At 55.2% G+C, this 27,663-nt stretch overlaps 1 protein-coding gene, 1 long non-coding RNA gene and 1 pseudogene across 7 annotated transcripts, besides 8 other annotated features; 1 reads left to right on the forward strand and 2 right to left on the reverse strand.

Moving 5' to 3' along the window:
- Positions 1-585: 585 nt before the first annotated feature.
- On the reverse strand, positions 586-7,726 carry LOC112268271 (translation initiation factor IF-2). Of its 3 annotated transcripts, none has more exons than NR_171652.1 (6): positions 7,664-7,726; positions 3,492-3,671; positions 3,123-3,419; positions 2,824-2,999; positions 2,074-2,361; positions 586-1,643 (listed from the first exon to the last, which is right to left on the reverse strand). It is a non-coding gene; the product is annotated as a translation initiation factor IF-2 (long non-coding RNA). The 3 variants fall into 3 exon arrangements; NR_171653.1 differs by having other exon boundaries at positions 2,074-2,503; positions 2,824-2,915; positions 3,492-3,633; positions 7,530-7,726; NR_171654.1 differs by having other exon boundaries at positions 3,492-3,636; positions 7,530-7,726.
- On the forward strand, positions 2,717-3,290 carry GSTM3P1 (glutathione S-transferase mu 3 pseudogene 1; annotated as a pseudogene).
- Positions 4,884-5,013: a silencer, noted in NCBI's record as "silent region_12716". NCBI's record gives its function as "represses an Ori minimal core promoter by ATAC-STARR-seq in GM12878 lymphoblastoid cells {active_cell/tissue: GM12878}" and the evidence as "EXISTENCE:reporter gene assay evidence [ECO:0000049][PMID:35858748]".
- Positions 6,563-7,063: an enhancer, noted in NCBI's record as "H3K4me1 hESC enhancer chr20:21485880-21486380 (GRCh37/hg19 assembly coordinates)". NCBI's record gives its function as "activates a minimal SCP1, AML or CMV promoter by ChIP-STARR-seq in primed H9 embryonic stem cells {active_cell/tissue: H9 hESC(primed)}" and the evidence as "EXISTENCE:reporter gene assay evidence [ECO:0000049][PMID:30033119]".
- Positions 6,692-6,741: a silencer, noted in NCBI's record as "silent region_12717". NCBI's record gives its function as "represses an Ori minimal core promoter by ATAC-STARR-seq in GM12878 lymphoblastoid cells {active_cell/tissue: GM12878}" and the evidence as "EXISTENCE:reporter gene assay evidence [ECO:0000049][PMID:35858748]".
- Positions 7,489-7,558: an enhancer, noted in NCBI's record as "active region_17625". NCBI's record gives its function as "activates an Ori minimal core promoter by ATAC-STARR-seq in GM12878 lymphoblastoid cells {active_cell/tissue: GM12878}" and the evidence as "EXISTENCE:reporter gene assay evidence [ECO:0000049][PMID:35858748]".
- Positions 9,234-10,704: an enhancer, noted in NCBI's record as "VISTA enhancer hs1205". NCBI's record gives its function as "enhancer in: hindbrain (rhombencephalon)[6/8] | midbrain (mesencephalon)[4/8]" and the evidence as "EXISTENCE:transgenic organism evidence [ECO:0001131][PMID:17130149]".
- Positions 9,802-10,321: an enhancer, noted in NCBI's record as "H3K4me1 hESC enhancer chr20:21489119-21489638 (GRCh37/hg19 assembly coordinates)". NCBI's record gives its function as "activates a minimal SCP1, AML or CMV promoter by ChIP-STARR-seq in naive H9 embryonic stem cells {active_cell/tissue: H9 hESC(naive)}" and the evidence as "EXISTENCE:reporter gene assay evidence [ECO:0000049][PMID:30033119]".
- Positions 12,338-24,010, reverse strand: NKX2-2 (NK2 homeobox 2). 4 transcript variants are annotated; one of them, NM_001424412.1, is made up of 3 exons: positions 23,886-24,010; positions 14,732-15,435; positions 12,338-13,806 (listed from the first exon to the last, which is right to left on the reverse strand). In NM_001424412.1, the coding sequence occupies exons 2-3, from the start codon at positions 14,988-14,990 to the stop codon at positions 13,244-13,246; spliced, it is 822 nt and encodes a 273-aa protein (NP_001411341.1). In that variant the 5' UTR covers positions 14,991-15,435; positions 23,886-24,010; the 3' UTR covers positions 12,338-13,243. The 4 variants fall into 4 exon arrangements, with proteins under 4 accessions (NP_001411341.1, XP_047296108.1, NP_002500.1 ...); XM_047440152.1 differs by lacking the exon at positions 23,886-24,010 and adding an exon at positions 23,018-23,162; NM_002509.4 differs by lacking the exon at positions 23,886-24,010 and having other exon boundaries at positions 14,732-15,385.
- Positions 17,082-17,582: an enhancer, noted in NCBI's record as "H3K4me1 hESC enhancer chr20:21496399-21496899 (GRCh37/hg19 assembly coordinates)". NCBI's record gives its function as "activates a minimal SCP1, AML or CMV promoter by ChIP-STARR-seq in naive H9 embryonic stem cells {active_cell/tissue: H9 hESC(naive)}" and the evidence as "EXISTENCE:reporter gene assay evidence [ECO:0000049][PMID:30033119]".
- Positions 22,210-23,024: an enhancer, noted in NCBI's record as "H3K27ac-H3K4me1 hESC enhancer chr20:21501527-21502341 (GRCh37/hg19 assembly coordinates)". NCBI's record gives its function as "activates a minimal SCP1, AML or CMV promoter by ChIP-STARR-seq in naive H9 embryonic stem cells {active_cell/tissue: H9 hESC(naive)}" and the evidence as "EXISTENCE:reporter gene assay evidence [ECO:0000049][PMID:30033119]".
- Positions 24,011-27,663: the final 3,653 nt, after the last annotated feature.

Consider the following 27,663-nt stretch of genomic DNA (forward strand, 5'->3'; position numbering starts at 1 on the left):
GCAGCACATCTCAGCCCCTCACCCAGCCTACATGTCCATTAAGACCAAAATTCTACCTCAGGGCAGAGCTGCCCTTCAATACTGTTCCTTCTGTTGTCTCACCGTGTTGTAGCCCATGGTGACCGCAGGGGCTCTGACACAGAGAGCAGTCCTCTGCCTTCCATGGCACCCTCCCAGGGGAGGGGGAAGTCCTGGCTGGTCCTTTCCTTTCCTTGACTCACCCGGGGTTGGCACAAAGGGCAGCTGGTGGGGGAGGGGCAGAGGTGCCGGAGCAAAGGGACTCTGTCACCCTTTGCAGGATAAGAGTCCTTAATCTGCAGTCCCTCATCCCCAAGGGGTAGAATTACCTCTTAATCTAATTTACTTTATAACCTAAACTCATTCTTCTGAGAAGGGTTCTATAGGAGTCTTCAGCCTGGCAAAGGGGCCTGTGGGACACAAAGTGTTAAGAACCTCTGGAAGGTGGCACCATTCTTCCCTCCAGCTGAGCAGTAATGGCCATTTCTTACTGCTCAGCCACTCTCTTTGCTTCCCCCCACCCCAATTCCAGCCAGATACATAGTAAGGAATCAATCAAGACTCACATTTTTAAAATCTCTTTATTATTTGTGGAATTTTACACAGCCTGAGGCATTTTTGATAGAGGGCATAGAGTGTGTGAAGAGATAAATCTACATTGCCACTCCCAGCCCATTCTGTAACCCCTGCCACTGCGGCTGTTCATTTCAGAGTGGGCTGAGGTTCCACAGAGCAGCTGAAGAGCTGTGAATGGTGGTTAATTGCAGTGATGTTAATTAGCATGTTATAGGAGGTAAGAAGAGGGGATTCACATTTCTCTTTTTACTGCTTCAAACAAATGATCTAGATCTTTGCTACATAAGCCACTGGCCACATGTGGCTATTTAAATGGAAATTAATAACAATTAAAGAAAAATTAAAGATCAGTTCCTCGATCACACTAGCTACATTTCTAGCGCTTGATAGCCACATGTGGCTAGTGGCTGCCATATTGGAGAACATGGATACAGTACATTTCCATCACCGCAAATATCCATGGACAGTGGTGCTGCTAGTTCTCTACCTCGCTCACCTGCTGACTTCAGAGCCTAGCCTGGGCCTGTCCTTCTGGCTTCCTCCTTCCCCCGCCCCCCACCCCACTCCTTTGTCTCCCATCCTCATGCCTCTCCCCACCTCCCTCACCCCACTGATATCCTTGTCATGGAAAGGTGTGACAGGGTTCCTGCTGTGAGTTCAGCTCCACCGTTTTGAAGTGGTTCAGCATATTAACTACCTACCTCCCTGCGATGCCCTGTGAATTAGGAAGGGCAGGCATATCCTTTTCTATTTTTTCGGTAACCAGTGGGGAAACGGGCTCAGAGAGCAGCGATAAGTAATTAACTTGTCCAAGGTTGCACATGGACAAAAGCCATCTTCTGATTTCTGGTACAGGCTTTTTTCTCATGGTTTGTGCTTTGTAAATGTTTAGGGCAGTCATAGTCTTAATTTTAAAGACACTATGTTCAACATTTCCTGTGTCTCTCAGCAGGGTTTCACTGTGGAAGTGCACGAGAGTGCAGCAGGGAGACCTCGCTGACCGTCTCGCTCCTCAGCCACAGGCCACCTGGCTTTGTCAGTTTCCTTATCTGGAAAATTCGTGGAGGGAGTCATTACAAAATGATGCTAAGATTTCCTCTGGTTCCAATATTCAACATATTTTTTGATTACTTTTTACTCATATGGCTTGATTTATTTCCCAAATGATTCAAGGACCCTTTTCAAAAGGTCCTCCCCTTGATCTGGAGCGGCCGTCACTGTGGCAGCTACCTACTGACAGTGCAATAGCAGGCCATCTCTAGGGTGACACCTGGAATTGCCTGCCAAGCCCTTGCCACCCAAAGTGTGGTCCTGCCCCAGCAGCACCAGCGTCTCCCTGGAGCTCATGAGAAATGCAGAATGCCAGGGCTGCTGAACACGAATCTGCATTTTATCCAAATCCCAGGTGATTCGTTTGTATCCCAAAGCTTGAGGAACTGTGATCCAGGCCCTGGGGAAGCAAGAATGAGCACAACTCACCTGAGTAGAACTCGGCCAGAGGGGAATCAAGCAGACATGGGGGACGTGCCCAGCTCCAGACCCTCCTAGCCACACTGGAACATGGCTGTCCCCTCAGGGTTTGTCCAGGTGAGTCTGAGCTCCTTCCCTGGGTACAGTCATTCTTTCGGTGTGGAGAACACCTTTGGCTCTGGAGTCTATTTACTCAGGGACTCATTGTCTGCACTCACAGCCTCTTTCCTCCATCTCATTAATACGCAGTTGAAGCACTCTGATTTGCAGCAGGCTTTTTACGCACACCCTATGGTCCTGTAAGATCTTTAAAGTTAGGATTAGAATACTGGTTCTACAGGATACACCTAGAGTTAGGTGGACCTTGGGCCATGTGCTTATAAGTCCCCAAAAGGCTCAAGGGAATGCTGACTTTACATTCTGGGAGTCCACAGGAGGCCTAGAGAAACATGAGGGAAGGAAGAACAGGATTTCATCAGATTGGGATTTGGGAAATGGCTGTTTCAAATAGAGGAGAGGACAAGGTGGGATTTAGTGTACAAAGACCCAAGGCGCCGTCCTCAGAGGCACAGAGAGCATCATCATGTCATCCAAGCCCTATGGAGATGGGTGACCGGGATGTTCTGGGGCTGATACTGGACACCTGCCTGCTCCTGGGAGGGAAACGGTGATCCATCTGCAGAAGCCCCTGGCCATGGTGGCAGCCAATGGCTGGATGTGAAATTCAAGCTAGACGTGGACATTCCTAATCTGCCTTACCTCACAGATGGGAAGAACAGGATCGTCCACAATCCTGGACATCCTGGATCGTCCCGCGGCGCTCACAAGCACGCTTCTTCAGAGTGCTGAGACTGAAGAAGGAAAGGTGCCAGGAGACATCAGGGAGGACCAAATGGTGGAATACCACCTGCAGCTGAAACAGCTCCACCATGACCCTGACATGAAACATGGAAGCCTCCATACTCGGAACTGCAACCTGGGCAGCTGAAACATTTCTCCTTGTTTCTGAGGAAGTCATGGTTTCCAGGGGGAAAGCTCACCTTTTTGGATATTCTTACCTGTGATGTCTTAGATCAGAACTGTATGTTTGAGCTCAAGTGCCTGTATGAGTTCCCAAATCTGAGGACTTCATGCACCACATTGCAGCTTTGGAGGAAAGAGCTGCCCCTGTGCAATCTGCCTGTTCTTCGGGATGCCAGTCAGCAGCGAGATGGCCCAGTGGGGACCAAGAGCGTATGCTGAGCAGGACACAGATGCACACTGCGTGTTTCGTTCCATCCTGTCTCTAGGGGCCTGCACTCTATCTTCTCTGCTCTTTTCAATAGCATTTAGGCTAAAAAACAAAACAGAAAAGTCTGAAGCAGAGAGAAATTCAAGATAGAACTCTAAGACCAGGTGGCTTAAACAACAGAAATGTATTTTCTTACAGTTCTGGAGGCTGGAAGTCTAGGATCAAGGTGTCAGGAGGGCTGGTTTCTTCTGAGGCCTCTCTCCTTGGCTTGCAAGTGGCATTTCCTTCCCATGTCCTCACATGCCCTCCCCTCTGCGTGTCTGTACCGATTTCTTCTTCTGCTAAAGACACCGGTCATACTGAAGTAGGGCCTACCCTAATGAATTCATTTTAACCCAGTTAGCTCTTTAAAGGTTCTATTTCTAAATATGGTCACATTTTAAGATACTGGGGGTTAGGACTTCAACATGAATTTTGGGGCACATGGCTCAGCCACTCATCTCCACAGCCTCTTCTGAGGAATGAGAGTGGCTCTTTCTGCATGCAGTTGTCACACCCTGTGCCTGTGTCATGTGTCCCTGTGCCTTGAGTGTCCAAGTCAAAAGTAACCATATGGGCTGGACTTCGAGAAGCCACTTGCCCCTCAGGTGTTTTGGACACTGAACCTGACCAATGGGGGCTCTGCAAACCGGGGGTGCCTCCCTGACCCAGTCAGATTCTCCCTCTAGGAAGGGGGACTGCCACATTCTGGGAGCTCCTTTGTCATAGGAAAAGACCAAGTCACTGGCTTTGAGGATGGGTCCTGAGGGAACAAGTGCCATAGTTCTGGACCTGCACGAGGGCAGCTGTGTGTCCCAGGCTTGGCCATGAGAAGCCAGAGAGATGGGCCAGCTGCTGTTTAGTCTCCATGTCCCTCACTACGTAGTTCCCTGTGCTAACTGCCTCCTTGCAGCCCAAAAACTCTACTTAGTACAGAAGGACGCATCAACAATGGACATTCCCAAGGAACACATGGGGAAAGAGGCCATTAAAATAGGCCCTGAAGTCATGAGTGACCTCTGGAGACCAATGCTAGGTCTAAGATAAAGGCAGAGTAACAGCTCAAGTGTCTGTGTCTTTGGGGTCCCCCAGATGCAGACCCTGAGACAAAGATTCATGTGCAAGTAGTTAATGGGGACCAACAAGGAAATGGAAAAATGAGAAAGTGAAGGGAAAAAGAATCAACACGAGAGGTGGTAATGAGAAGATTGCCACTGAAGACAACTAGGGCTCAGTCCCACTGGGGGCCTGTGGGAAATGGCGAACATGTCTCAGGGTTGTTCCACCTGGGGCCAGGAAGCTGGGCCATATATCCTGCAACCTCCACCTGAAACTGCGTGAAGACCATGAACTCCCCAGCCCTAGCCACCTGTCTAATGGGCCCAGCACCCTCCTGCTCACCTCCAGGCAGAGACTTGCAGATGCTGGCAGCGGGAAGCCAGCACAAGGGAAAAGGGAGTGCACAGGGGCTGTGGGCAGTGGCTGCATTCTGCGGCAAGCTCTGCCTCCTCCCCTGAGTCACAGAGCAGGAGTTCCAACCACAGCTCTCTCTGCTCAAAGCAGCTGGCTGTTCACTGGGTGAAAAGGACTGCTGATTTCTGAGCGATGCCTTGTGGTCAGACCATCAAGTATCAGATCCTCTGTCACAGACACAAAAAGCTGATTCCTTTTGTTTTACCTTCTACATCTAACTATCCTTCATTTCATACCCATTCCACACAATTCATCTTACCCTACAGAGGCTGATGGGGTAATTCTTTTATTTTGTAGCTAGTAAAGAAACATGGAGAGATCTGGAAGTAGATACTTAAGTAAAATTCCTTTTAATAATTCTTGTGGTTAGACACAGTGGCTCACATTTGTAATCCCAGTGCTTTGGGAGGCCAAGGTGGGAGGATAGCTTGAGGCCAGGAGTTTGAGACCAACCTTGGAAACACAGTGAGACCACATCTCTACACAAAAATAAAAAATAGCTGGGCACGGTGGTGCCTGCCCGTGGTCCCAGCTCTTGGGAAGGCTGAGACAGGAGGCTCTTTTGAGCCCAGGAGTTCAAGGCTGCAATGAGCTATGATAGCATCAATGAACTACATCCTGGGTGTCAGAGCGAGATCCTGTCTCAGAAAAAAAATGAAACAAAACAAAGCAAAAAGTTGCAAATCTCTCAGATTAGGGAGCCCAACACTATGCACAGAAGAACAAGTTAACTTATTTTACCTTTTCCCCACATTAGGCAAAAAAGTAATCATTTAATTAAAGCAGTAAGATCAATTGGCTACTGAAAAATCTATTTTTTGGTACACATTATCATCCTGGGGGGAGAGGGGAGTTGCTCATGTCATCGAAACCATGGAAGGCCCAGGCCCAGGCCCAGGAGTGAGAACAGGCTCCGGAGCGTGCCCCTCAGGTGCACCCTCAGCCTACTCCCCCTCAGTTCTCAGGGGACACTCGCTGGCCGAGATGGCCACTTGGCACCCAGTGGAGGTGCTGGTGTACATACAGGCTTCCCCGAGGATGACAAGGGGTTGGCCCAGCCCCCACCAACCAGGATGGGACCTGGGCACTGGCTGCCAGAGGAGAACTGGCAGAACCCTGCCCTGTGGAGAAGTCACCTAACTGCCTTCTGCAGAGTGGGAGGGCATCTTTGTCCTCCCCCACCCCTGCCCACTCTTCTGGAATAGGAGAGGACGCCCTGGTAGATCCCACCTCCACTCCCAGAATGCTTTTCTTTGTCAGAACACTGGCTTGATTATAAGATCGGGTGCTTAACTTCTCTGAAACAGGCTCCTCTGCAGAAGGACAGATTGGCTATGATGATCTGATTAGACGACGAGGAGAAGCAGCCTGGCCTAGAAGGTGCTCAGTACGTGGCAGCGGTGATGGTCATCGTCTTCAGGTGCGAGAGAGGCTGGGGTCAGCGACCTGGGGCTTTCTTTGTATCATTTTATGAAGAAAGGTAAAAATACCACAGGCGAGAACAAGCAGCAAAGGGCGGATGAGATTTTTCATCTGCAGCTTTGAATTGATACCTTTAAGTATTGAGCTATTCTTTTGTTAGGACAGAACACGTTATTCCATTAGAAGAGAACATTTTGGGGTGGTGGAAGTGTTCCACGTCCTGTGTGGGGTGACAGTTACACGCATGTCACATCAGCAGTCTGAGGAGGGAGGGGAGAAGGGCCGGGCTGGATACCTTCAGCCTCTTCATCGCACTCCAGGCACCAAGTGCAAGGGCAGGGAGTTTTCATTATTTAGGGAATGCAGCCCTGGTGTAGAGGACACCTCGCGGAGACATCTCGAGTCCCGCAGGTGTCTGAGCTGCGCTGCGCGCCCCAGCCGGGAAGCCTTTTCTTATCCAACCGCGCCGCCCCGCGGAAAGCCTGGGTACTGCAGACGCCCTCACCGGCCCACCGACAGCTGGTTTTGAAGCGGGGGCTTAGAAAAGTAAAGGGGACAGTGTTTGGAGCCACGATGCCTTTGATGTGAGGCGGTTCCACCCAACAATCAACGAATCAAGCTGGAACTGCAGGCCCTACTTTTGTTGGGGGGAGGACCTTAAGGAATGTCACCCCCTTGTCCCCTACCCTCTGCCCCACGCCCAGCCTCTCAGAAGGCACCAGGCGTGAGTAGAGTGCGAGGCGTCCACACCCTCGTGTCCCTTCCATTCCCGGACACCTTTGCACCCTAGCCGAGGCCTCAGCACGGAGTGAGGGTTGCCTGGGGTGCCCTGCTGTGTGTGGGGCGTTCTTGCCTCCCGGGCCCTGACCCCACGGTCTGGGTCGGCGAGGCGTCTCTCCCTGGCGTCTGGACTGTGCGCCTGCCCCGCTTCCAGGCGACGAACGGCAGGAGCCGGGGGTCCGGCGGGACCCGGATCCAGGGCGGGCGGAAGGCGAGGGTCTCTCCTTCCCGGAACCCCCGCCCCGGAAACCTGCAACCAAACCGGGTCCCTCCTCCGCATCGCTCCCGCGCTCCCGGGCCGCCTCCCCACGCGGGCACCCACTCTCCGGGCCCTCGCAGCACCGCCCTCTCCGCGTCCACCCGCGCGGCCGACGCCGCCAGGGGCCCTGAGATCGCGGAGACAGCGCGCCCTGGCGCCTGGTGGGGCCCTCCCAGTGGCCAGAGCGCTCCTGGACCAGTCGGCTGTGGTCTGTGCCCAAACACGATGGAAACCGGGGCTGGGACGGGCGGTGGTACGCACGTGGAGGAGAAGAGGCATGGCGGGAAAACCACAGCCGAACACAGGTCGACTCGCACCTCCCAGGCACCCGCCGCCGTCTGACTCGCGGCTCTCCCCAAGGTTCCGACTCGCCGCCACCTCTTGGCACCACTCACCGGGCTCCGACCCGGGCCGCGAGTCCGCTGATGCGCAGCTGCCTCCGGCGGCTCCCGGGCTCTGCCCGGACCCGCGCGCAGAGACGCTCGGGAACGCTGGGCTCGGGCGCCTCCTGGCGGCGGCAGCACGCGGCACACGCTCGGTTCTCCGGCCCGAGGGGGCGCGTGGAGCGTACGCGGGATCCGCGCGCGGGCCTGGGCTGCTGGCCCACATTTCCCCGCTTGCTCGGATGGCGGCGCTGAGGCCTATTCGCCTCTTTATTAATAACGATGCCTCGGGAGGGAAAAAATAGAGCCTTTAAAAATCAGAGTGCGAGAGAGGAGTGTGTGTGTGTGTGTGTGTGTGTGTGTGTGTGTGTGTCTCGGGGCGTTGGTGAAAGCAATAAAACTCAGATCGCTTCCTTGGCGAGATAGCGGCGGCTATAATGCGCCGGGGGGATCAGGGGTTTATTTGCAGATCCTGGATAAAAGATGATATATCGACACGGTTTAGAGTGTCACTGCGCTTGGCCTCTCAGGGAGCCACAAGTACATATTTCCTGAAATACCGCCCAGCACAGTATCTAATCCGCCCGCCACTTAACACCGGGAGGGGAACTTCAGCAGCGCACAAGCGCGCTCCCGGTTTCCTGGTTCTGGGTGGGGAGAGCCCAAATGAGAAGGATCTGGTATGCCTAGACGCCCCCTCCCCTGGCCTTTGTCTTCAGTCCAAGTAATCACTTAGCGATGGGCCTTAATAAATACGTCTGAGAACTGTCCTTATGCTCGGTAAATATTGGATTAGCTTTTCAATGACCAGGCTCTTGAAAAGGCTCGAGAAATACACACCAGGTCTCAACTAAGCCCAACAGTCAATAGGTAAGGAAATAAGTTATTTCCCCATCTGAGGTGGGGAATGTTGGGAAGGGGGACTTCCACTCTTACCAAATTATCTGATTCTACTAAATATGACCGTTGTACTAAATAGGAAAGGGGGCGCATCCAAGTTTCCCATTAGTCGGAATTTCCACCAGCTCAGTTCTGCTCATTAAGGGCCGAGTGACTTTGTGGGGAACATATCTGGGTTCCAGTTTTTATTTCCACAGAGCTCAGCATAAACTATTTTTGTTTAGTACATATGGTTTATTTGGGGACTGCTTATGGGAGTTTTGACCTGGCAATTGCAGGGGAGAAGGCATGACCCAAATTATTTCCGACTGCCTCGCGCCAATTTGGACCGCTTAGAGGAGGCAAAAAATGGGCAAATTCCTTGGAAGCCCTGCTGTGTCTCCCTGGTACTGAATTTTGTAAGCACGCGATACAGGAGACATTGAAAATTAAAGAGGAAGTATCTCCCTCCTCCAACATGGGGAGAGACGCTGTTGGAAGAAGTTTCTGAAGTGGTTTCCCATCGCACCAAGAGGCCAGTGGGATGGATCCCCGCGCATAATTCAAAGGAACGCGCGCGTCTTTAGCTCTTCGGGGTTGGTAACCAAGTGGTCCGGCCGGGCGCAAGTCGCCTTGGAACCGGCTGCAGCCCAAGTCTAGCTGGGCCCGGGACTGAGCGGCACCCTTGGCCTCTCAGAACCTTTCTCGCGGTGAGTGGAAGGGCGGCTCCGCGCGCGGGCGCTTCGGGGCCGGTCGGTTGCGAAATCAGGGGGTGGATTTTCATCTACCCAGGAGCCGCTAAGCCCGTAGGGGACCGAGCATCACCCAGGCCCTGGGTACCCTGAGTTGCCTCCTGAGCCCCAGGACGGTCCGATGGTGCAGAGCTCCCAGGCAGAAGTTAGTTTCCTGATACACACACAGCAGTGAGCAAAGTGCGCACAAGTGAGCCAAACCCTGAAGACGCAGGTTCGCGGACTCCCATCCCAGCGTTAGAGTCAAGGAGACAGAAGAGAGGAAGGAGAGAAGTGAGGAAGGGAGAGAGATTATGAGAAAAAGAGATTATGAAAGTAGAGAAAGAGATTATGAGAGCGAGATTATGAGAAGAGAGAAAAAGAGAGATTTTGAGAGAGAGAGACAGAATGAGAGAGATCCAACTTTCAGTGTCACGGGGCCTAGGCGGGGCAAGCGCCCTCCGAAGCCATCAAAGACAGGGGTGGCTTTTTCTCCCCTCCTCCAGCCTCCTCCCCAATAGATATAGCACGAATTTTTAATGCGTCTTCCTTTCACAGACAACAATACAGGGTTTGAAAGCCGGACACAATTTAGGTTTTGTGCGGGTCCCTCCTCGCGCTCCCTCGGCCCAGCTGGCCATATGGAATCCAGCATGGAGCCCGTGGATGACAAAGGGACCCAGTGACAGGCCCAACAAAACCCCAAGGAGACTTCTGCCTGACTCCGGGATTCACTGCCGGCGATAAGCGCGCTGAATGGTGCGGGGTGGGGCGGGGGGTGGGGGGCGGGCCCCTTCTCCTTCTTCCCCTCTCTCTGTCCCCGCGATCCTTTCTCTGTCCCTTTTTAATATGCACGCCTCTAACATCTCCGGCTCCCAGCTTTCCCATTGTGCGGTTTTGTACCGCCCGCTGTAGATTGGGCGAAGATAGACTGCTGAAGCGGACCCCGCGCCGGGTGCGCTCCCAGGGCGCTGGGGTTAGGGCCACACAGGGCTCCGCAGGCGCTTTTATTGACTCCATGGGGACCCGAGGACAGAGAGAGGCGGGCGCCGGGTCCACCTCCCGGGCTCCCGGCCGGCCACAGGAGCGCACACCCAGATTGCAGGCCCGCGGTCCTGGCCACAGCTCCAAATTTGTCCTCAATGAGCAAGTGGTGGAAGCCTGCCAGGGTGAGGACCTTCCACGCTTCCCCCTTCCTCTCTGGAAACCTGAGGGTCTCTTGTGATCATTCTCACCCTGGAAGCCCTGGGGCCTGGAAAAGTCAAAATGGCCTCAGGCCTTCTGACAGCTCCGCTCCAAGAGACTTGAAACCCTCACCTTTCCTCCCAAGAGGATTTTGGGATTAGGGGAAGTTGCAAGTGGATGTTGAGTGGTTAGTACCAGGGCAGGTTGGGCGTTCAATTATTGCACAACAAACTATTTGGGAGAAATTCGTTGGCCTTTAAAAACAGTAAGACATAAGCCCCCAAACATTGCCAAGCTAGTGTGGAGAACAAAGGGAGACCTTTTAGCATTTAGAAAAACTGCCCTTTCCCCGAGGATGAGCCCGGAGATGGGAAAGGACCTTTACTGGGGTATTAGAAAGACTTCCGAGCCCTCAATTATCCAGGGGCGGTGTGGAACGCGGGAATAAAGTGTCATCGCGTCCCTGGGCTGCTGCGCAGAGTGCTATCGACGCACAGATTTGGTCGCACGGATAATCATGTTTGCTTTAGATATTGAATTAAACCTGATCATCAACTACAGGGAGCGAGAAAGTCAGCTGGGACCGCTCCTTTTGCCCGGCCTCCTCACTGCCACCCAACCCCCCAGCCTTGATGGTGCAGCTTCGGAGAGAACAGAGATACAATTTCCAAATGCGCCGACGTTCAGTCCCTCAGCGTCTGCAGCACCCGCTGGGCTCTGAGCTAGAGTCCCAAGTATTTTTAGAAACCCGCGAGATAGAGGAGAAAGGCTCATCCTCCAGTTGGCCAGGCTTCCTAAGACGCTCCCCCGCGTGGCCAAGTGTGCGCCAGCATCTGCCAAGGAGATCTTCCTCCAGCAACAAGGGTGGGACGGAATCCGTTCCCCGCCGGAAAGATGGATGCGCCCTTCCCGGGCGTGCCCGGGGCTGTGTGCCCACTTCCCATCCGGGGAGCTCACCCCACCCCCAAACCTCTACTTCCTAGCAATCCACCCAGTTCCACGCTCAAGGGCTGACCTGGGGGGACCGCACACCCTGGTTCGGACCGCCGAACGCTGGAGGGAAGGAGGCCCGGGATCCAGTCCCCGGAGAGAGGCCTGGAAGCCCGGAAAGGATGGGAGCGTAAGGGAAGGGAGAGGCATGGTTTGCTGGGATTGCCAAAGATTCTCGCTCCCTGGCTTCCTGGGGCCAAAGATCCTAGGGAGGGCTGCAGTATCCCCTCCCTCCCCCGAGCCCAGAACCCCGCGTACTTCCCCCAAGCCCCCTAAGCCAAAGCCTCGCGCGCCCTGACCGTTCCCACCCCCAGCCTTAGCGGTCTCCTAGGTCAGCACCAGCCCGCAGATTTTGAAAAGGAGTGGGGAGTGGGGAGAAGGCAGCCAGTCTTAACCTCAGACCCCCACCCACCCACTTTCTTAGCGTGAGGTAAGTCAAATGTAACAAAGTGAAAGTCATCGAGTGTAGTGGCTTCAACAGCTTCTCAGGCTGAAGGAGCCACTCATAGATTTGGGCCAGCGAGGGGGGTTTGCTCTCCTCGCCTTTGCGGCTCCCGAAGTCACTTTTCCTCCCGTAGCCGGACGCTGCCGCCCGGGGTTCAGACAGCGCGCGAGACCAGGGGAGATGCGGGGGAGGGTGGGCGGCCCTGGGCTTCCGGCCGACCGCTCGCAGGCCGGAGGCCGAGCGTTCTCCTCCCCGCCCCAATCCTAGGCGCGGGGTGCAGCCTGTGGTCGGAGGGGCCTGCACCGGGAGCCCCGCCCGCCCCAGGGCCCCGGTACCCCCGGCCTCCCCGCCCGAGAGGAACCGCCTGTGGGAGCCCCGCGGGCGGCCGGGCCCGGCTCCCAGGCCCAGGCCTCCGGCCCGGCGCAGTAGGACAAACGGGAGGGCAGGGATTTTTTCTTTTTTTCTTTTTTAAACACAGGATTTTTATTAAAATTCTTATTTAAAAAATCGAAAGCTTTCTGCGCCCGGCGCTGTTGGGGAACCGCGCCGAATAGCTGAGCTCCAAGTTCGGGGCTGAAGGCCCGGAGGACAGGGCAGAGGGCTCCCTGCCTACAGGGTTTTCTTTTCCATATTTGAGAAATGTTTGCACAATAAAATAAAAAGAGAAAGGAAGAAAGCAGGGGAAAACGCAAAAACAAAAACAAAACAAAAAACAAACCCAAACAAGCCACAAAGAAAGGAGTTGGACCCAGACGGGAAACAGGCCGGTCCTGAAGGTCATTTTGGCAACAATCACCACCGATATTTACAACGAAAAGCGAAATCTGCCACCAGTTGTCAGAACGTTTACATGGCCATAAATATTTAGCATTTTCTTATTTTTTTTTAAAAAAAGGAAGAAATTCTCTGTATTTTTAAAGTGTTCTCCACTTGCTTTAGAAGACGGCTGACAATATCGCTACTCACACAAACATATTTTACAAAATGCACGAAAGCAGGGGTGGGGGGTCGGTCTTTTTCTCGTTTTCAAGTGACGACATTAACGCTGGGACGGTTTGGTCCCCCCGGGGAGAGGCAAAGAAGCGAAGCTGCGCAAACATTCTGTAAACACGGCGTAGAGTTCAGCCCTCTCCCAAGGTTCAGAAGGAGAGGCATGGGCAGAGCTGGGTGGGTGGAATCTGCCACTCCAAGGAGACGCAGGCAACCTCCCGGCGCCTCCCTAGTGGAGCCGAGAGTCAACTCGACTCCATAATAATAATTATAATAATAATAATAACCACCATAAGGACCGAGGCCTCCTCGCCGCCACCGCCGCCGGGGTGGGGCCTGGGCCTGGGGCCGCGAGTCTCGTTGGGGCGGCGCTCACCAAGTCCACTGCTGGGCCTGGACCAGGGGGTGTGCTGTCGGGTACTGGGGGGTGCTGGCCGAGCTGTACTGGGCGTTGTACTGCATGTGCTGCAGCGACTGCGCGCTGTAGGCAGAAAAGGGAATGCCCGCCTGGAAGGTGGCGGCTGCCAGGTCCTGGGCTTTGAGCGCGTGACATGGTTTGCCGTCCCTGACCAAGACGGGCACGGCCACCCGGCGCGGCGAGGGCAGGGGCGTCACCTCCATACCTTTCTCGGCCCGGGCGCGCTTCATCTTGTAGCGGTGGTTCTGGAACCAGATCTTGACCTGCGTGGGCGTGAGGCGGATGAGGCTGGCCAGGTGTTCGCGCTCGGGCGCCGACAGGTACCGCTGCTGCCGAAAGCGCCGCTCCAGCTCGTAGGTCTGCGCCTTGGAGAAAAGCACTCGCCGCTTTCGCTTCTTGCCGGCGTCCCCCCCGCCGCCCGGGGTCTCCTTGTCATTGTCCGGTGACTCGTCGGCCGAGGGCTCCGGGGACTTGGAGCTTGAGTCCTGAGGGGGCGCCCCGGCAGCCAGACCGTGCACTGGGGGGAGGGGGAGAGAGAAGCGCGTCAGGCGTCTGGAGGCCGCGCGCAGCCTGCACCAGACTCGGAGCACCCTGGATCCTCCGTGCGACCCTGGACCTCCGCGCCTGGCAGCCCAGCCCCGCTGCCTTTGCCATGACCCCTGCCTTCCTCTACGCCTGACGAAGACGTCGGGACCTCCCAGGGTAAAGAGGGAAATCCGTAGGAGTGGGGGCTAGGGGCTCGCCTTTCAAGGGGCTCACATAGTGTGGGTGAGAATTTGGGGGGGGAAGTGGCACTGAAGATCATCGCGGGTTAAGGGCTCCGGCGCCCTTAAGCGGTTTCCTCTCCGGCGAGACGTGGGCAGATTTTTAAAAGAAATACCCCACAATCCCAGCATTGATCGGCTCGGCCATTTAAGGCAGGTTTTTGGGGGCTTTCGTTTCTGCTTTCGGGCCTTCTAGACACCCCCTGCACTGCACAAAGCGTCCTCTATGATCGCGCAGGGGGCAGGGTGAGCTATTTATACCCGGGCCACCCGAAGCCTCCCCACCCTCCACCCGTACCCGGACGAGGCTCGCTGGCTACCTCCAGGGCGCCAGGCCAGTCCCTCCCAGCGGCCGGAGTCCGGGGGCTGCGGCTGGAGCCATCGGTCCGGGTTGACATCATATACCAGCCCCTGGGAGGTATAGCCCTTCTCCCTCTTTCTCCTTAACTTCTCGCATTGAAAAAAATTTTGGAGACCAAGTTCTTTCCCGGAACTAAGGAGGCTTGAAGAGGAGGGCAGAGGACATCCTATACAGGTGTTAAAAATCTTTCTACGGATCCGAGTGAGGGGGTCCGGGCTTACATGGCCCCTTCCCCTTTCACTCCCAGCGTCCAACCCGGGCTGCGGCTGCAGGAATGGAGGGGACCACGGCCTCGGCAGCCAAGTTTTGCTACTTACGGGAGTACTGAAGGCCCTCGGTGCTGGCCAGCCAGCGCGTGTACGGGTTGTCGCTGCTGTCGTAGAAGGGGTTCTTCAGGGGCAGGCTCTGCACCGCGTCCAGGGCGCCCTGCCCCAGCGGCCCGGCCCTCTTGGCTGGCTCGGGCCCCTCGTTCTCTTCCTCCGGACCTTCGGCCACAGAGCCCTCCTCATCGTTGGTGTCCGGCAGGTCTAAGATGTCCTTGACCGAAAACCCCGTCTTTGTGTTGGTCAGCGACATGGTTCGAGACCCCAAAATTTATGTCGCAAAGTTGTAGCTTCACTTGGTCAATTCGTGGCGCTCCCCTGCCCCGGCGGGCGGGGGAGGGGGGAGTTGGGGGGAGGGACTGGGGGAGGGGAGGGGGGAATTGGCTTTAATTATTGGGATAATTATTATTTTTAAAAAGAGAAAGAAACTGGGGATGGGGAGGAAAAAAATGAAGCCCAACCCAGTGCCTCTCTCTGTCTTCTTTGAAAGCACGCGGAAATGGACGCAGGAAGCCGGGCGGCCTGCGCGCCGAGCGCCGCGGGCCCCGGCCTTAGTTTCTAACTCCAGGAGGGGTGCCAAGGCGGCGTCAGCTCGGGCTCCGGCGGCCGCTCGGCGCGCGGTGGCGGCTGGTGGCGAGGAAAAAATGGGCCATTGCCCGAGCGATCAGTCCATATAAGGCTGGGCTCCACTCACGAACCTGGGGAGGCGGGGAGAGGGGGAGAAAGAGAGGGAGGGAGGGAAAGAAAGAGGGAGGGAGGGGGAGCGAGAGAGGGAGCGGGAGAAGGGTGGAAAAAAGGGGGAAGAGACATTAAAAACGCAAAGGTTGGCCACGTGTGGGCGGGTCTTGGGAGTCAAGTGGATGAAGACAGTATTTGCAGATGTGAAATTGTGGGTTTTGGGGAGCTCCGCGCTCCCAGCCAACGGCCCTCTAGAGCAAGATGAGAGGTGTAACGTGTCAATTAATTGCAAAGACGGGGCGAGCCTTTTTTTTTTTAAACCCAGTATTTACATACAAAGGGCCACCGCGTCGCTCGCGAGTCCACACACTTGAAAGGGCCGTTTTAACAAATTGCATCTTAAAAAAGGTGGGGGTGGGGAGGAGGAGGGGAGAAAACAAAACAGAAACCAGGAGGAGGGAAAAAATCCTCTTTAACATTCACCGGTTCCTACCTCCCCGCCCCCGCGCGCCCACCCCCGGCAAGCCGGAAAATTGGCGATTTGTGGCGCCTTTGGAAAAGGGGGAGGGGGCGAAGGCCGAGCTGCGGAAATCTCTCCTTTCCATCGTTGGTGGTTGCCTAAACAAGATCCGGTTCAAATGGCAAGAGCCCAACTTCTGTAAGCCTCCTAGGTCAATATTTTGGTTGAGGCTTAAGGATGAGTGCTAGAAATGACAAGGCAAGTAATTGATTCCAGTTAACCGCGAGAGAGCCCAAAACCCAGGAGAGAGCTCCGCTCCGGGCCGGCCAGAGCCACCACCAAGCGACCCGCCCCCTTCCAGCCGCCCTTTATTTGCTAAAGACTCATTTATTTCCTTCACTCCGCCTCCCCCCACCTCCCACCCCCAACCCCCCGCCTCCACCTCTCTGCGGCCAAGGAGGACGCGCAGTTCACTTTCTGCTTTGCGGGCGGTCCCGGGGAGGGCGGGGTAAGAGTGAGGAGCTCCAACTTCGTCTGGGGTCGGACCCTGGCCCTGCTGCCTCTGGGCTCTGCGGGCCTCTTTCCCCGGGTGGAGGAAAGGGCAGACGGCCCTGCTCTTTCCTGCCCTCTATTATCCCTCCCTCTCCGGCCCCCTCCCTCTCCAGCCTCTGGCTAGAGGTGGAGCAGCGGGAAGGCGGCGGGGCGGGATTGCGGGGGTGGGGGTGGGGGTTGTGTCTCCAGCCTGGGTGAAGACCCAGAAAGCTGCGGGGGAGGGGGGTCGCTGGGTGGCCCGACGATGCCTCGTTTTCTCCCCAGTTTTCTTCTCCCACGCGAGTTCTTTAGTGTGGTCTCTTTTTGGACGCCTTGGGTGCGTTCGGAGTACGCGCTCCACGTTTCCAGGTTAAGTCAGGTTAGTGTGAAGTTTCCAGCCACTCTCGGCTCTGGGAACTGAACTTTCCCGGGACTTGCACTTCCTCCTCGGCGCTGGGGTTGGAAAAGACCACGCCGCATTTGCCACCCCTTCTTCTAGTTAAAACTTTTTTGGGGGGGGGGTGCAGGGGTGTAGATTGGCTACCTGATGCTCGTTCGCCCCAGAGGAGTGTCAGGAAGGAGCTTTGTCTGGGGGCGGGGAGGGGCACAGAAGGCCACCCCTGCGGGGTCCAGGTCTAGTCTTCCCACAACCTGGGCTCCTCCGCGCGGGCCAAGCTGAGCGCGCGGGCACCGGGTCCTCCTCGCGCGCAGCTGCAGCGGACGCCGCCGCGCCCCAGCTGCCCCCGGGTTGCCAGCGCTGGGTGAGGGCACCTCTCCCCGAGCCGCTCGGCGGCTTTCTGCAGCCCTAGCTGCCTCGCCCCCAGTATGTGACGTGGGTGACAATGGCCCAGGTTAGAGCAAGCCCCTCGTCGGCGCGTCCTGGGTGGTCGGACCCGGGCAAACACAAATACAAACCGATTGCTAAGCTGCGGACAATGAGCGAAATGTAGACAAATGTCCCGCTCCCGTTGGAAGCCTTTGTCCCGGCTCGGTTTTTGCATTTATTTCAGTGGCGAAATAATACATGATTGACGCTCTCTTTCAATGTGTCCTAACTGTTTGGAATAAATCTAAGGTTGTTCCTAGTTGTCATGGCATTCAACCCTTTTCAATGGACTATCTCTTCATTCATTTCTGAATCCGTCCACAATATTAAGGAAACCCCTTCATGTCGACGCTCCCCGATTCCTCTTTCTCCTCCTACTTTTTCTTTTCTCCTTTCTCCCCCTCCTTCCCCCCTTTTTTCCCCTGGAAGAATTAGAAACTTGTTTGAATCGTCTTCCTCGAACCCATTACTTTTCGTGCTTTTTTTTTTTTTTTGCTCGCTTTCCGTCTCTGTCTTTCTCAGCGCCCCCCCTCCTCCGCCCTTTCACGTGGGAGCTCGTCGCTCTGCCCCGTCGGAGGAGGGAAGTTGGTTCTCCAGGAGTCGGGGAAGCGTCGAGTTTGGATCCAGGGGCGGGAGTGGGCCTGCCACTGCTATTGTTACTCAGCTGCTAAATAAATAACTGGAGAGAAAAAAAGTTCCTCAACCCAAGCGTTGCAGCAAAGACCCTCCTTTTGTTCCTCCTCTTATTCCTCAGTCCTAAGGGGGTGGAGGCTGTCTTGGGGTCCAGGGCAGCCACTAGGTTGGGGACCCAGAATAGGATCTGGTTGGGCCAGGCAAATTCTTGGGTCAGGTGGCAAAGGGGTCTTTGGCAGCAAGTGTCGTTTCTCGCATATCCCCAGAGCCCTCTTAGGTGGGGGAGTGCCCGCAGAGGCCTCCCAAAGCGTGTTCATTTCTTCAGCTGGGAACCACCTCGCTGAAGTTCCATGTAGTTCCCAACTTCTCTCCCCCTTCCCCAGCATAGTGACCCTTTCTTCTCAGGATCTAAATCAGCACCGCTGCTATTGATCAAGTCCCCTCCCCTCACCCGTGGGAGCCTGCAAGGTCCGCAGAGCGCCTGAGAGAGGATTGCTTTCCTAGGGGAATCCTGGCTCCTGGAATTAATCACGGGGAGGGAGTGCTGCCATAGGCGCCTAGAGAAGGAGGCCCTCAGCCCAGTTCTCAAAGGTCGGGTTTGCCTTTGCGCCTGCCCCTTAGCCTCAATGACCAGCCGAATCCTTCTGGGTCTCAGCTTGCGGTGTCCTCTTGTCGGAGCACCTGAGGCGCCCACTTCCCCTGCCCTCGCAGGACGCCTCCTGGACTCCGGCCCCTCCTACACTTTCACCCCAGCGAGTCTTCCAGTTTTTATTTCCCCTGGCCTGGGGGCAGCTGGGCAGGGAGGGAGAGAATTGGAGAGAGCTTCGGCCTTGCCTCCTCCGCGATCGGTGCTTCCGGGTCCACAGCACTCAGCCTCTCCCGGGACCTCGAGACTCATTTCCCCATCACTTCTCGTCCGTGTGGTTCCCGCGTCCATTTCCAGAGCGTTAACATTTGCAATTGAAAAGGCGCTGGGAGACCGCTGGGAGGTCCGTAATTGAAGGGGAGAAACTGGGCTTGTTAGTGGAAGATCATAAAATGCAAGTCCCCCAGGAGCGGCCTGTGGACGCCGGGAGGCCTGCGCAGGCCCAGCTGGCGGCCAGGGCAAGTCCGGTGCCCAGAGCACAGTCCAGTGTCTCCTCAATTTCTTGGGCCCGGCTTGCGCCCAAAGAGCCTAGGGGCCAGGCGCCAAACGCACCTTTTCTGTCCCAATTAAACAGGTGATTGCATCCTGAGGACTCCCCAAGAGGCCTCCCCGAGAGTACCACAGCTAGGCCTTCTAGAGCCCAGGAGCTTTGGTTCTCTGCGATCCCGCACACCCGCAGGCTGAGAGGCCCTGCCCCGCTCCCTTCCCCCTCCGGAGGGTTCTTCAGTAAGGGCCCACCACTCCCACCCTGTCAGCGTCTGCCTGCACCAGTTTCAGCTCCTGGTCTCCCCCACTCGGCATTCTTTAGTAAATTCTTTCCAGGTACCGTCTTGCACCCAAGCGAGTTCAATGTCCTCCGTTCCGTCAAGTTTGGGTTTGAGCTTTGGGCTCAGCTGCCGTGGTCTGGAGACCTCGTAGGCACTCTGCAAGATGCCTCGTTCTGCTGCATGCTTGGGGAGGAAGTTGAGCTGGGTGCTGGAAGTTCTGAACCCAGCATGCCCCGGGCCGGAGGAGATTTGCTTGGTGTCTCCTTAGCGTCCCGAACACCGCGCGCCCCTGCTGGGGTAACCTGAACAGCTGGACCCCTCAACTCGATCTTTATTATCAGCATTGGGGCTCCAGATTCCGTACACATCTCTAGCTCTATTCATTCTTCCTAGGTTGAGAACGGACGCATTGGGAGTCCTACGCCCGGGGGAAAGGCAGGAGAGGGGAGGAAGAGAACCTGTGCCCCTGGAAGCTAGAGGAGAGCCTCGCTCTCTCTGCTGCTCTGGGTTCCGCAACGAATTGAGTTCGGGTTCAGGCGGCTGGAGCGGGCGCGGGGAGGCTGAACAATCGCCGGAGGCCCAGGAGGGGAGGCGAATGTACACAGGCTAAGTGGCCCCACTCCAGGACAAGTGGCCCTCTAAGTCGGCTCAGTGTTTACCTGTTTACTTTCCCAGGTAGCTCAAACACGAGCGCCTTTTCTGCGCTCCAGGGCACGGGGGCCGCCCAGAGGCACCCTGCTTTCCCGGCTTCTGCCCTCCCACGCCTCAGCTTTACGCCCCCTGTTGTGGGGGTGCGCTCTAAACAACAGCAAACCAGGCAAGAAAGGAAGATACAGGAGAGCAGGCGAGGCCTCGGCACACCCTACGGAGGGGAGCCTTTCTTGTGCCTGTGGAAGAAGTGGGCTCCGTGGACGGCATCCGACCCTCCCCCCATCCCTGTTCTGGGCACCTCTTTGGAGACGGCGCTCGCATCCTTCCCCGTTCAAGCCGGTGGTGAAAGCTTGCAGTGCAGGTACCTGCCCCCTGTCCTCCTGGGGAGTAAAGGGCAGAGAAAGTCTTCGGGGGTAGGGGTGGGGTCTTGGGGCCTGCTCTAAAGAGGGGGCGACCTTGAGGAGCCCAAAGCTTCAGCAGCCCTAGGCGGCACACCTCACACTCCCCACCCACAAAAGCGCTTCCAATCATTAAACACACAAGGTCTTTTCCCTTTATTTGGAAACACTAATTTGTTTGACTTCATTTCATTTCTTCGTCTTTTTTTTGGAATGAAAAAGGGTTGAAAAGAAACTCCTTTCCTGGTACAGTATGTGGCTGAGCTCTCAGGCCCTCGCACATCCCATCTCAGATAACAACCTTCAAGTGGATTAGTTTATTGTCTGGTTAGCGCCAAGGTGCAAGCGTTTGTCTTCATTCACTCCGGAAACAAAGCGCGTTGCACCTTCCTGCTCCAGCAAGGATTAACGGCGCGGACACAAAGGTTTTGTCGGAGGGGGAAGGTTTATTTTATCTTGGGTTGGAGACTCAGAGCGTGGCATGCACTTGAAATCAATGGGGAAGGAAAATGTCACCCAATCTGGTCCCTGAGTGTGGCGATAAAGACGTTCACCTTAAGGATGGCATCTCCAAAACAGCCCCACTTTGGCTTCGACTTCCAATGCGGGAGCAGGGGCTGCAGGAAGCAGAGGTGTCAGCTCTCACGTCCTGGATGAAAGAAATAGGGGAATGCACCCCAGGAGTACTACCCCGTGCTGGGACCTTTGCTAACCAGAAAATGAAAATCCATCCCAGCTCCAATTGCCCTCACCTTCTGCCCCCGGAGAAGGAAACAGGGTCATAGGAAATCCCTTCTGTCTGTGGGGTGGCAGAGTGGAGTCTCTGGGTTGGGGAGGCCTAAAGCTGTGTGAGTCTGCAACTTTGGAGAGGCCAGACCGTGCCCGGCAGATCTCTGGCAGGAGAGACTCACAGCCATTGGACAGGTGGACGAGAAAGTGGGCATTAGTGTGAAAAGAAAGGAAATCTCAGCCTGCTTTGGGTTCAAGCCTAAGGTGAGTTTTTTTTTTTCCTTTGGTCCATATTATATTAACTCTTTAAATTGCCCCAGGAAGGGAAGAATGAGTGGATGCCTCCCAGATGGACAATCCTCCCAAGTCAACTAAGAAGGAGTTGGGTAGATAAGTTCTCCAGGCCCAGAGACTTTCAGATTCTGTGTCTGGGGGAAAATCCCCACCCCGTTCCTACAGAGTGGCGGGAACCCCATTGATGCCACGGAGAGAACTGATCCTGGGACCTAGAGCCTGGAGTCCCCCTGCGATTAACTGTGGATGCAGGAGGAAGGCATCTAGGTGAGCTCCCTTCTCCCTATTCTTTTTCAAGGCAAAATATACAACACTTTCCCAATTATCTGCCTCCCTCCCACCACAAAAGGGGCACATATCTCCCAAGGATGTAAATAGTAATAGAAATTAGTATTTGTCTTTCTATTAATCAGCTTCATTGTGTGGGCATAAGACCCTGCGGGCATATGTTAGGACTTTGATAAATGCACTTTAATGAGATCTTTAAAAATGCATCCAATAAAATAAAAGGCGAGGAAAGCCGTTTAACTTTCATGGATGTTAAATTGAACACGAACTGTGGCTCCGGGCACGCTACAAAATGGAACCGGCCTCTCTCCAATATTTTCTTTAAAAACCTAGCTTTAAGCCCCCCTCGGGCCAAACGAGCCTGTCCCAGCCAATCCATTATCACCGGTTTATTGGGGAACCAAACGCCACGTCCCCCTGGGCGAACTCCTTGGCTTTATTCGTTCGCGCTGCTCTAATGACTAAATATGTTACAATGAGATTACGCATCGTCAGTGTTGCCTTCAGGAACGTTCTTTCAGCCAAGCCCGACCTTCCCCGGATGAGGGCGATTTCAATACGGGAGATCTGGGTTTCTCCAGGAAACACGCGCTGAAAGCACTCTCTTATCTGAATTTACTTCTTAACACGTGACAAAATCATTACCACAAGACTTTGGAAAACAAGCGGCTCTCCTAACGGGTTGCATTCAGCACTTAAAGCTGGGTCGGGCAGGCTGATGTGAAAAGTAGTTGTCGGTGGCGCGGAGAAGGCACGCTCTTAGCTGGAGCTAAGGGCTGGTTCCGGGAAGGACAGGGAATGCACCCTTGGGCCCTCGGGCACAGAGAGGGGGTTCCTAGGGCTCTGTCTCTCTCTCTCCAATGTGAGCCCCAGAGGTTCACAACCTTCCCCTAGACGCAACGTCCCCTTTCCACCCCCAAGAGCCACTAAAGTCGAGAAGGCGCCAGAGGAGCTCCAAAGGGCCTCCTGGTAGTGTGTGCGTGTGTGTTGTGGGAGGAGGTTGGGGCGGAGGGGGCGCCCCTCGGAGACAAGGACCCCACCGAGGTTCATTTCTGATCCTCTGGCGATCTCTACTGACACAAACGAGAACTGTCCGGCGCCGGGCGCGGCCCAGGCGACACTCGCCTCCCAAACTCCAGTCTTCAGTCGCCTCTCCAGAGACCTCAGTCCACTGCGCGGGCCCTCAGCCCCGGCTCCTCCTGTCTGCGACTCCCACCACTTGCCCTCGTGCTCATCACCACCGTCCCCTCACGTCCCAGTTCCGTCTGAGGAGAAGCCCCTGTCTCCACTGGGCGCCATCTCCAAATTACCTTCGGGACTTCTGCCTCTGTTTCAATCCCCGATCCCGAGCTCCCTGCGACGCACAGGGGGCGACTTACCCGGTGGAGGTGGGTGCAGCGGCCGCCCCTTCCTCACCGCGGCCCCGCCAGCCGAGGCGCAACCGGCCCCGGGCAATCGGGAGGGAGCTAGCCAGGCGCTCCGCGCGCCCGCTCCGCCTTCTACTCCCGGAGCTGCGGCGACAGCCCCGCCGCATTTCAAGGCGCGTCTTTATCTAGTACTCCACCTACCCGGACCCCCCTCGCTCTGCGCCCTTCCCCCACCGCGCGCCCTACCAGGCGGGGCTCAGGGGACCGCAGGCGGGGACCGCCGCGGGTGCCGCGCCCCTCCCTCCTCCTCCGCCTCCCAGCCCCGCACCTTCCCAGCCCCTGGGACAGTCCCGCTTTCCCTGACCGCACCGGAAAGTGCGCAGCGGCGGGATCACCTGGCCTCGGCGGCTGGTAAAACTTTTCCTGACTGCAGGCGCGACAGAGGGGCCCTGCCCGTCCTCGAGTGCTCGCCACTCCTGCCGTGATCCGCAAAGTCGGGGAGAACTTCGGAGGCCCGCACTTGCCCACCTGCTGCGTCCGGACTACGCGGCTTGGGGATCGAGCCGAGTCAGGACCCGGGAGAGCGAGGGGCTCATAACCGGGGTCCGCCGTGAACCCGAGCTCCGGCGCCGCTCGGCGGCGACGACGGTGCCCCGAGACCCCTCTCTGCTGGCAGGCCGCGGTGACCGTGCCCGGAGCGCGTTCCCGCGCCGGGCGGCTGTGGCAGGAGGACCAGACAGTCAGCGCCTGGCAGCGAGGGCGACGCCGGGCTTCCTCCATCGCCACCGCCGGGCTCCGCTGCGGCTCCCGGGCTCCGCCGGGTGCCCCGCGCCATCCCCATCCCGCGTTCACCGGAAACGCGTGCGAGCTGGAGGCTCACCTGGAGCGCGACTGCGCCGCTGGAGCCTCGGCTGGGCGAGCGCGCAGGTCCCGGCCGCTCTTTATCCCGAGTCGCGGGCGGCTGCGGAGTCGCGGGCGGTCGGGCGGCGGCTCGACGCGGCCGGCGAGCGCTCCCCCTCCCGGCTCCGGGCTCCTGGCTCCAGGCTCCCGGCCCAGCGGCCCCACCCTCCTAGCTCCGGCCCCGCGGCCACCGCGCAGCCCCAGCGGAGGGGGCAGCTCCCCCGCGCCGCGCGCGCTCTGTTTGTTTTCCTTGCCGGACTGACGTGAGTCAAAATATTGGCCATATGTTCAGCGGTAATAAATTGGGTATGAGCGCAAACACACTTGGGCTTCGATGGCTCTTTCAGCTGCCACATGGTAGGCTTTGCGGGGAGGGGGCTTCCACCCCGCCTCGGCCCCCTGCCCCCAAACGCGCGGGTAGATTCCCTCCCTCCTGCGCCCCTCTGAGCAGGAGATCTGGGACCCCAGGTTTCTCCTGACCCTCGCCCCTCCTCCGTCCCCAGCAGTGCCTTGGACTCCGCAGCTCCTGGCGAGCCCGGACTGCTGGTTAACAAGGTCGCCATCTATAAATTGCTCGGTCGCTAAGACGCCATAAAACCAAAGGGCCAGATGTGGCACGTTATTTATGTGTGAAACCGCGTTTACACTAGATACGCGGATCCAAGGCCGATAGCACGACTTCGCGGGAGGTCACAGACCTCTCGCCCCGGCTCCAGGCTCCTCCCCCAGCACGATCTCCTCTCCAGGTTGAGGGGTGTCGGTCTTGCCGGGAAAGGGATTCACCCCTGCAGCCCAGGAGGAAAGTGATTTCAGTGCGCTTGTGCCAAAATGCCACCTGTCCAGGATTAAAGGCAGTCTCTGGGGTTTATTTCCGTAGCTTTCCTCTTTCCCCTGCTCTTGGCTTCCTTTTATTACGGGCCCCTGGGAGGCTGTTTTATTTTCCAGGCAGTTGATACGTTTCATGGGACCTAGATCTGACACAGCAAGGGTAGTGTGCTAGAGATGCCCAACTCTGTGGGTGGGCGGGATTTGAGGGTGGGGTCTCCTGAGCCCTGAGGGAAGGATTTTGGGAAGCGGAGCAGTTCACCTGGCTGAGGGAGCACCTGAAATTATTCTTGCCTCGGGCGGTGGTCGACTCCAGTGTCGCATGTCACCTGCCTTATTTAACTTGAGGGGCAGCCGGAGCACTGGGAGAGGCAGCCCTGGCCTCGGAATATGGAATCCGGTGGCCCTGGGTGCTGCAGGAAAGGGAAGTAAATACTCTGTTCTAATAGAAAACAATCGTTTTGCTTTCCTTCTTCAGAAGGCGGCCTTAGGACTGCATGTCCCCAAACTGGTCACCTCGCACTTTACTCACATGAATTCATTAACAGTCATTGTCTCTCCATTGCCATTATTTTACTATTTCTTGAAGTGAACCAAATTCTCTCTGTGGTTAATAAGCACTGAGCCAGGCCCCCTACCTTCCTTTTCATCTTCAAAACACCTGGGGTTCCCTGAATGGCATCTTCCGTCTGGCCAAGGAAAATAAGAGATGAAAAATGTTGCCCTACTGCAGGGAAAAACATAAGCATTTCACTTTACTATTACCAGTTACCCCAGGTCTGTGTTCACTAGATAACTGTCCTTAGGTGGCTGTTAAGGGTGGAAAAATGATGCTGTTGAAAGAGGGTGGGAGAGAAGGGGAGAACCAACATGAGCTGGGGGTGGGGAGGAGAGACCCATTTGATAGGGGCAAAAAGAGCTATAAAATGAACCTCTGAACCTGAAGTGCTGAGCAGGAACAGTGACTCTCTGGGTTTGCTCTCTTGGGCTTTAGATGAGCTCCTAGAAAGCTTTAGTTAACTGCAGAAAAACCTGGGACTAGCTTCAGGGCTACAGGAGTGGTTGATCTTGGGAAATTACACTGTTTTTCACTCTTTTTTCTTGGATTTTTACATCTTTATTTATGGTTAAAAACCAAACTATAGGGTCTATTTTTGGGTTTACATTACCTCCAAGTGGAAGCGCTGAGATTACAGATCAATTGCTTCTTTGGGTGAAAATATTGCTTCATGACCAAAATTAGACAAGGGGATTTGAAGGCAGGCCTTCACATTTGTAGTCTTCGTGGGAATGGGTGTCTTTGTCTCACAAGTGCCCTGTGAAGAAGCTCATGCTTTCTTCCTGCATGTACCACAGATATGTGCTAGGCAGAGGATTGAGACGCAGACAAGGAGCTTAGAAAGTCAGTGTCTGGTGCTCCCAGGGTGGAAAACTGAGAGACACGAAGCAAAGAGTATATCAAGGCAGGCTTTACATCATTCCCTAGTTAGGAAAACCCATTTTAAACCAGCAAATGTAGCAGGGCATCTACTAGTTAACTGATAATAAAAATCCATGACAAAGAAGATGCAGTGGGGAGCAAGCATAAATGAAATACGACTGCTTAGATACAACTCCTGTTTCTTCTCTTTGGCCTTATTCAGCAATCCGGTGCTAAACTTCATACACTACATCCTCCAACCTCAACAGATTGCATGCTGTTCTTAGTTCCACCATCTTTTATGCTATTCTTACTTCAGAAACATTCCTGTCCTACTCATGGACTCAAAATTCACTGACTTTTCACACTGGAAAAACCTTCCTCCACGAAGCTCCCCGCAGACGCACCATCAGCTACAGTTGTTCCCCTCTAGGAGTGATCAGTTCTCACTTGCAAGTCAACACATAGTCAGCGGAAATAAATACTCTAGTGTGTTTTGACTTGAACTAGGATATAATGGAATTGTCTTGAAAAGAGTTATTCAAAGGTCCTCTCATGGAGAAGTTCTTTGCTTGTTATAGCTGTTGGCCCTGCTATGCAGTTGATTCAACTAAGGAAGCTAAGTGCCTTGCTCACACCTTACCTTAGCCTCACGTGTGGCCTCCAGAGAGGCACCATGGAGGTGAGAGCTGAGACGGAGTCTGAAGGAAGTAAGTACCCCAACCCCAGACCACAAAGGGCTCTCAGGAAGCAATGTACTTCTGCAAAGATCCCAGTGCACAATGGGGAGCTGAAGATGGGCAATGCCTCTCCGTGTGCCCTCAGCAAGTGAAAGTTTGAATGTGCTCTCCAGCAGACTTGATGCTCTTCCTTCAGTTCCTTCAGCAGCAGAGCCAGAAGGCAAGAGTCATGGTCTTATGAGGCTCTTGGGCTTTCAGAAGCCAAGAGTAATACCAGTTCCTTCTTATCTCCTGCAGAGAACCAGAGAACTGGGATAACAGACACTGCAGGACACAGATTGTTTTGTTAAAGAGTTGGCCACAGCCAAATAATTTGGCAACATGTATAAAATCTTCAAGAAGCAACAATCAAATTCATCTAGAGACAGAAACCAGACTAGCAGTGGCCTAGACTTGGGAGATAGGGGCTGGGGGGCTGGGGAGTAAGGGCTGAGGGGTGTGAGGTTTCTTTTTGGGGTGAGAGAAATGCTCTGAGATTGATTTTGGTGATGTTGCACAAATCTGTGAACACACTAAAAGCCATATTCAGTAGACATTAAATGGGTAAATTAATGTACACATTAAATGGGTAAATTGTATGGTGTACGAATTACATCTCAATAAAATAAAGCTGTTTAAAAAGCCAATGCATCTCTTGTTTATGTGGGCTAGAAGGTGCTGGGATAGAAGCTAGGAGGGGAGGGAGGCACTGGGGGAAGACAGGTGATCCTGAAAGTTGTCTTCCATCTTCCCAATTTTTATTCTGAGTATTTTCAAGCACACAGAAAAGTTGA

The sequence above is a fragment of the Homo sapiens genome, chromosome 20 (genome assembly GCF_000001405.40).
Source record: "Homo sapiens chromosome 20, GRCh38.p14 Primary Assembly".
NCBI lineage: Eukaryota > Metazoa > Chordata > Mammalia > Primates > Hominidae > Homo > Homo sapiens.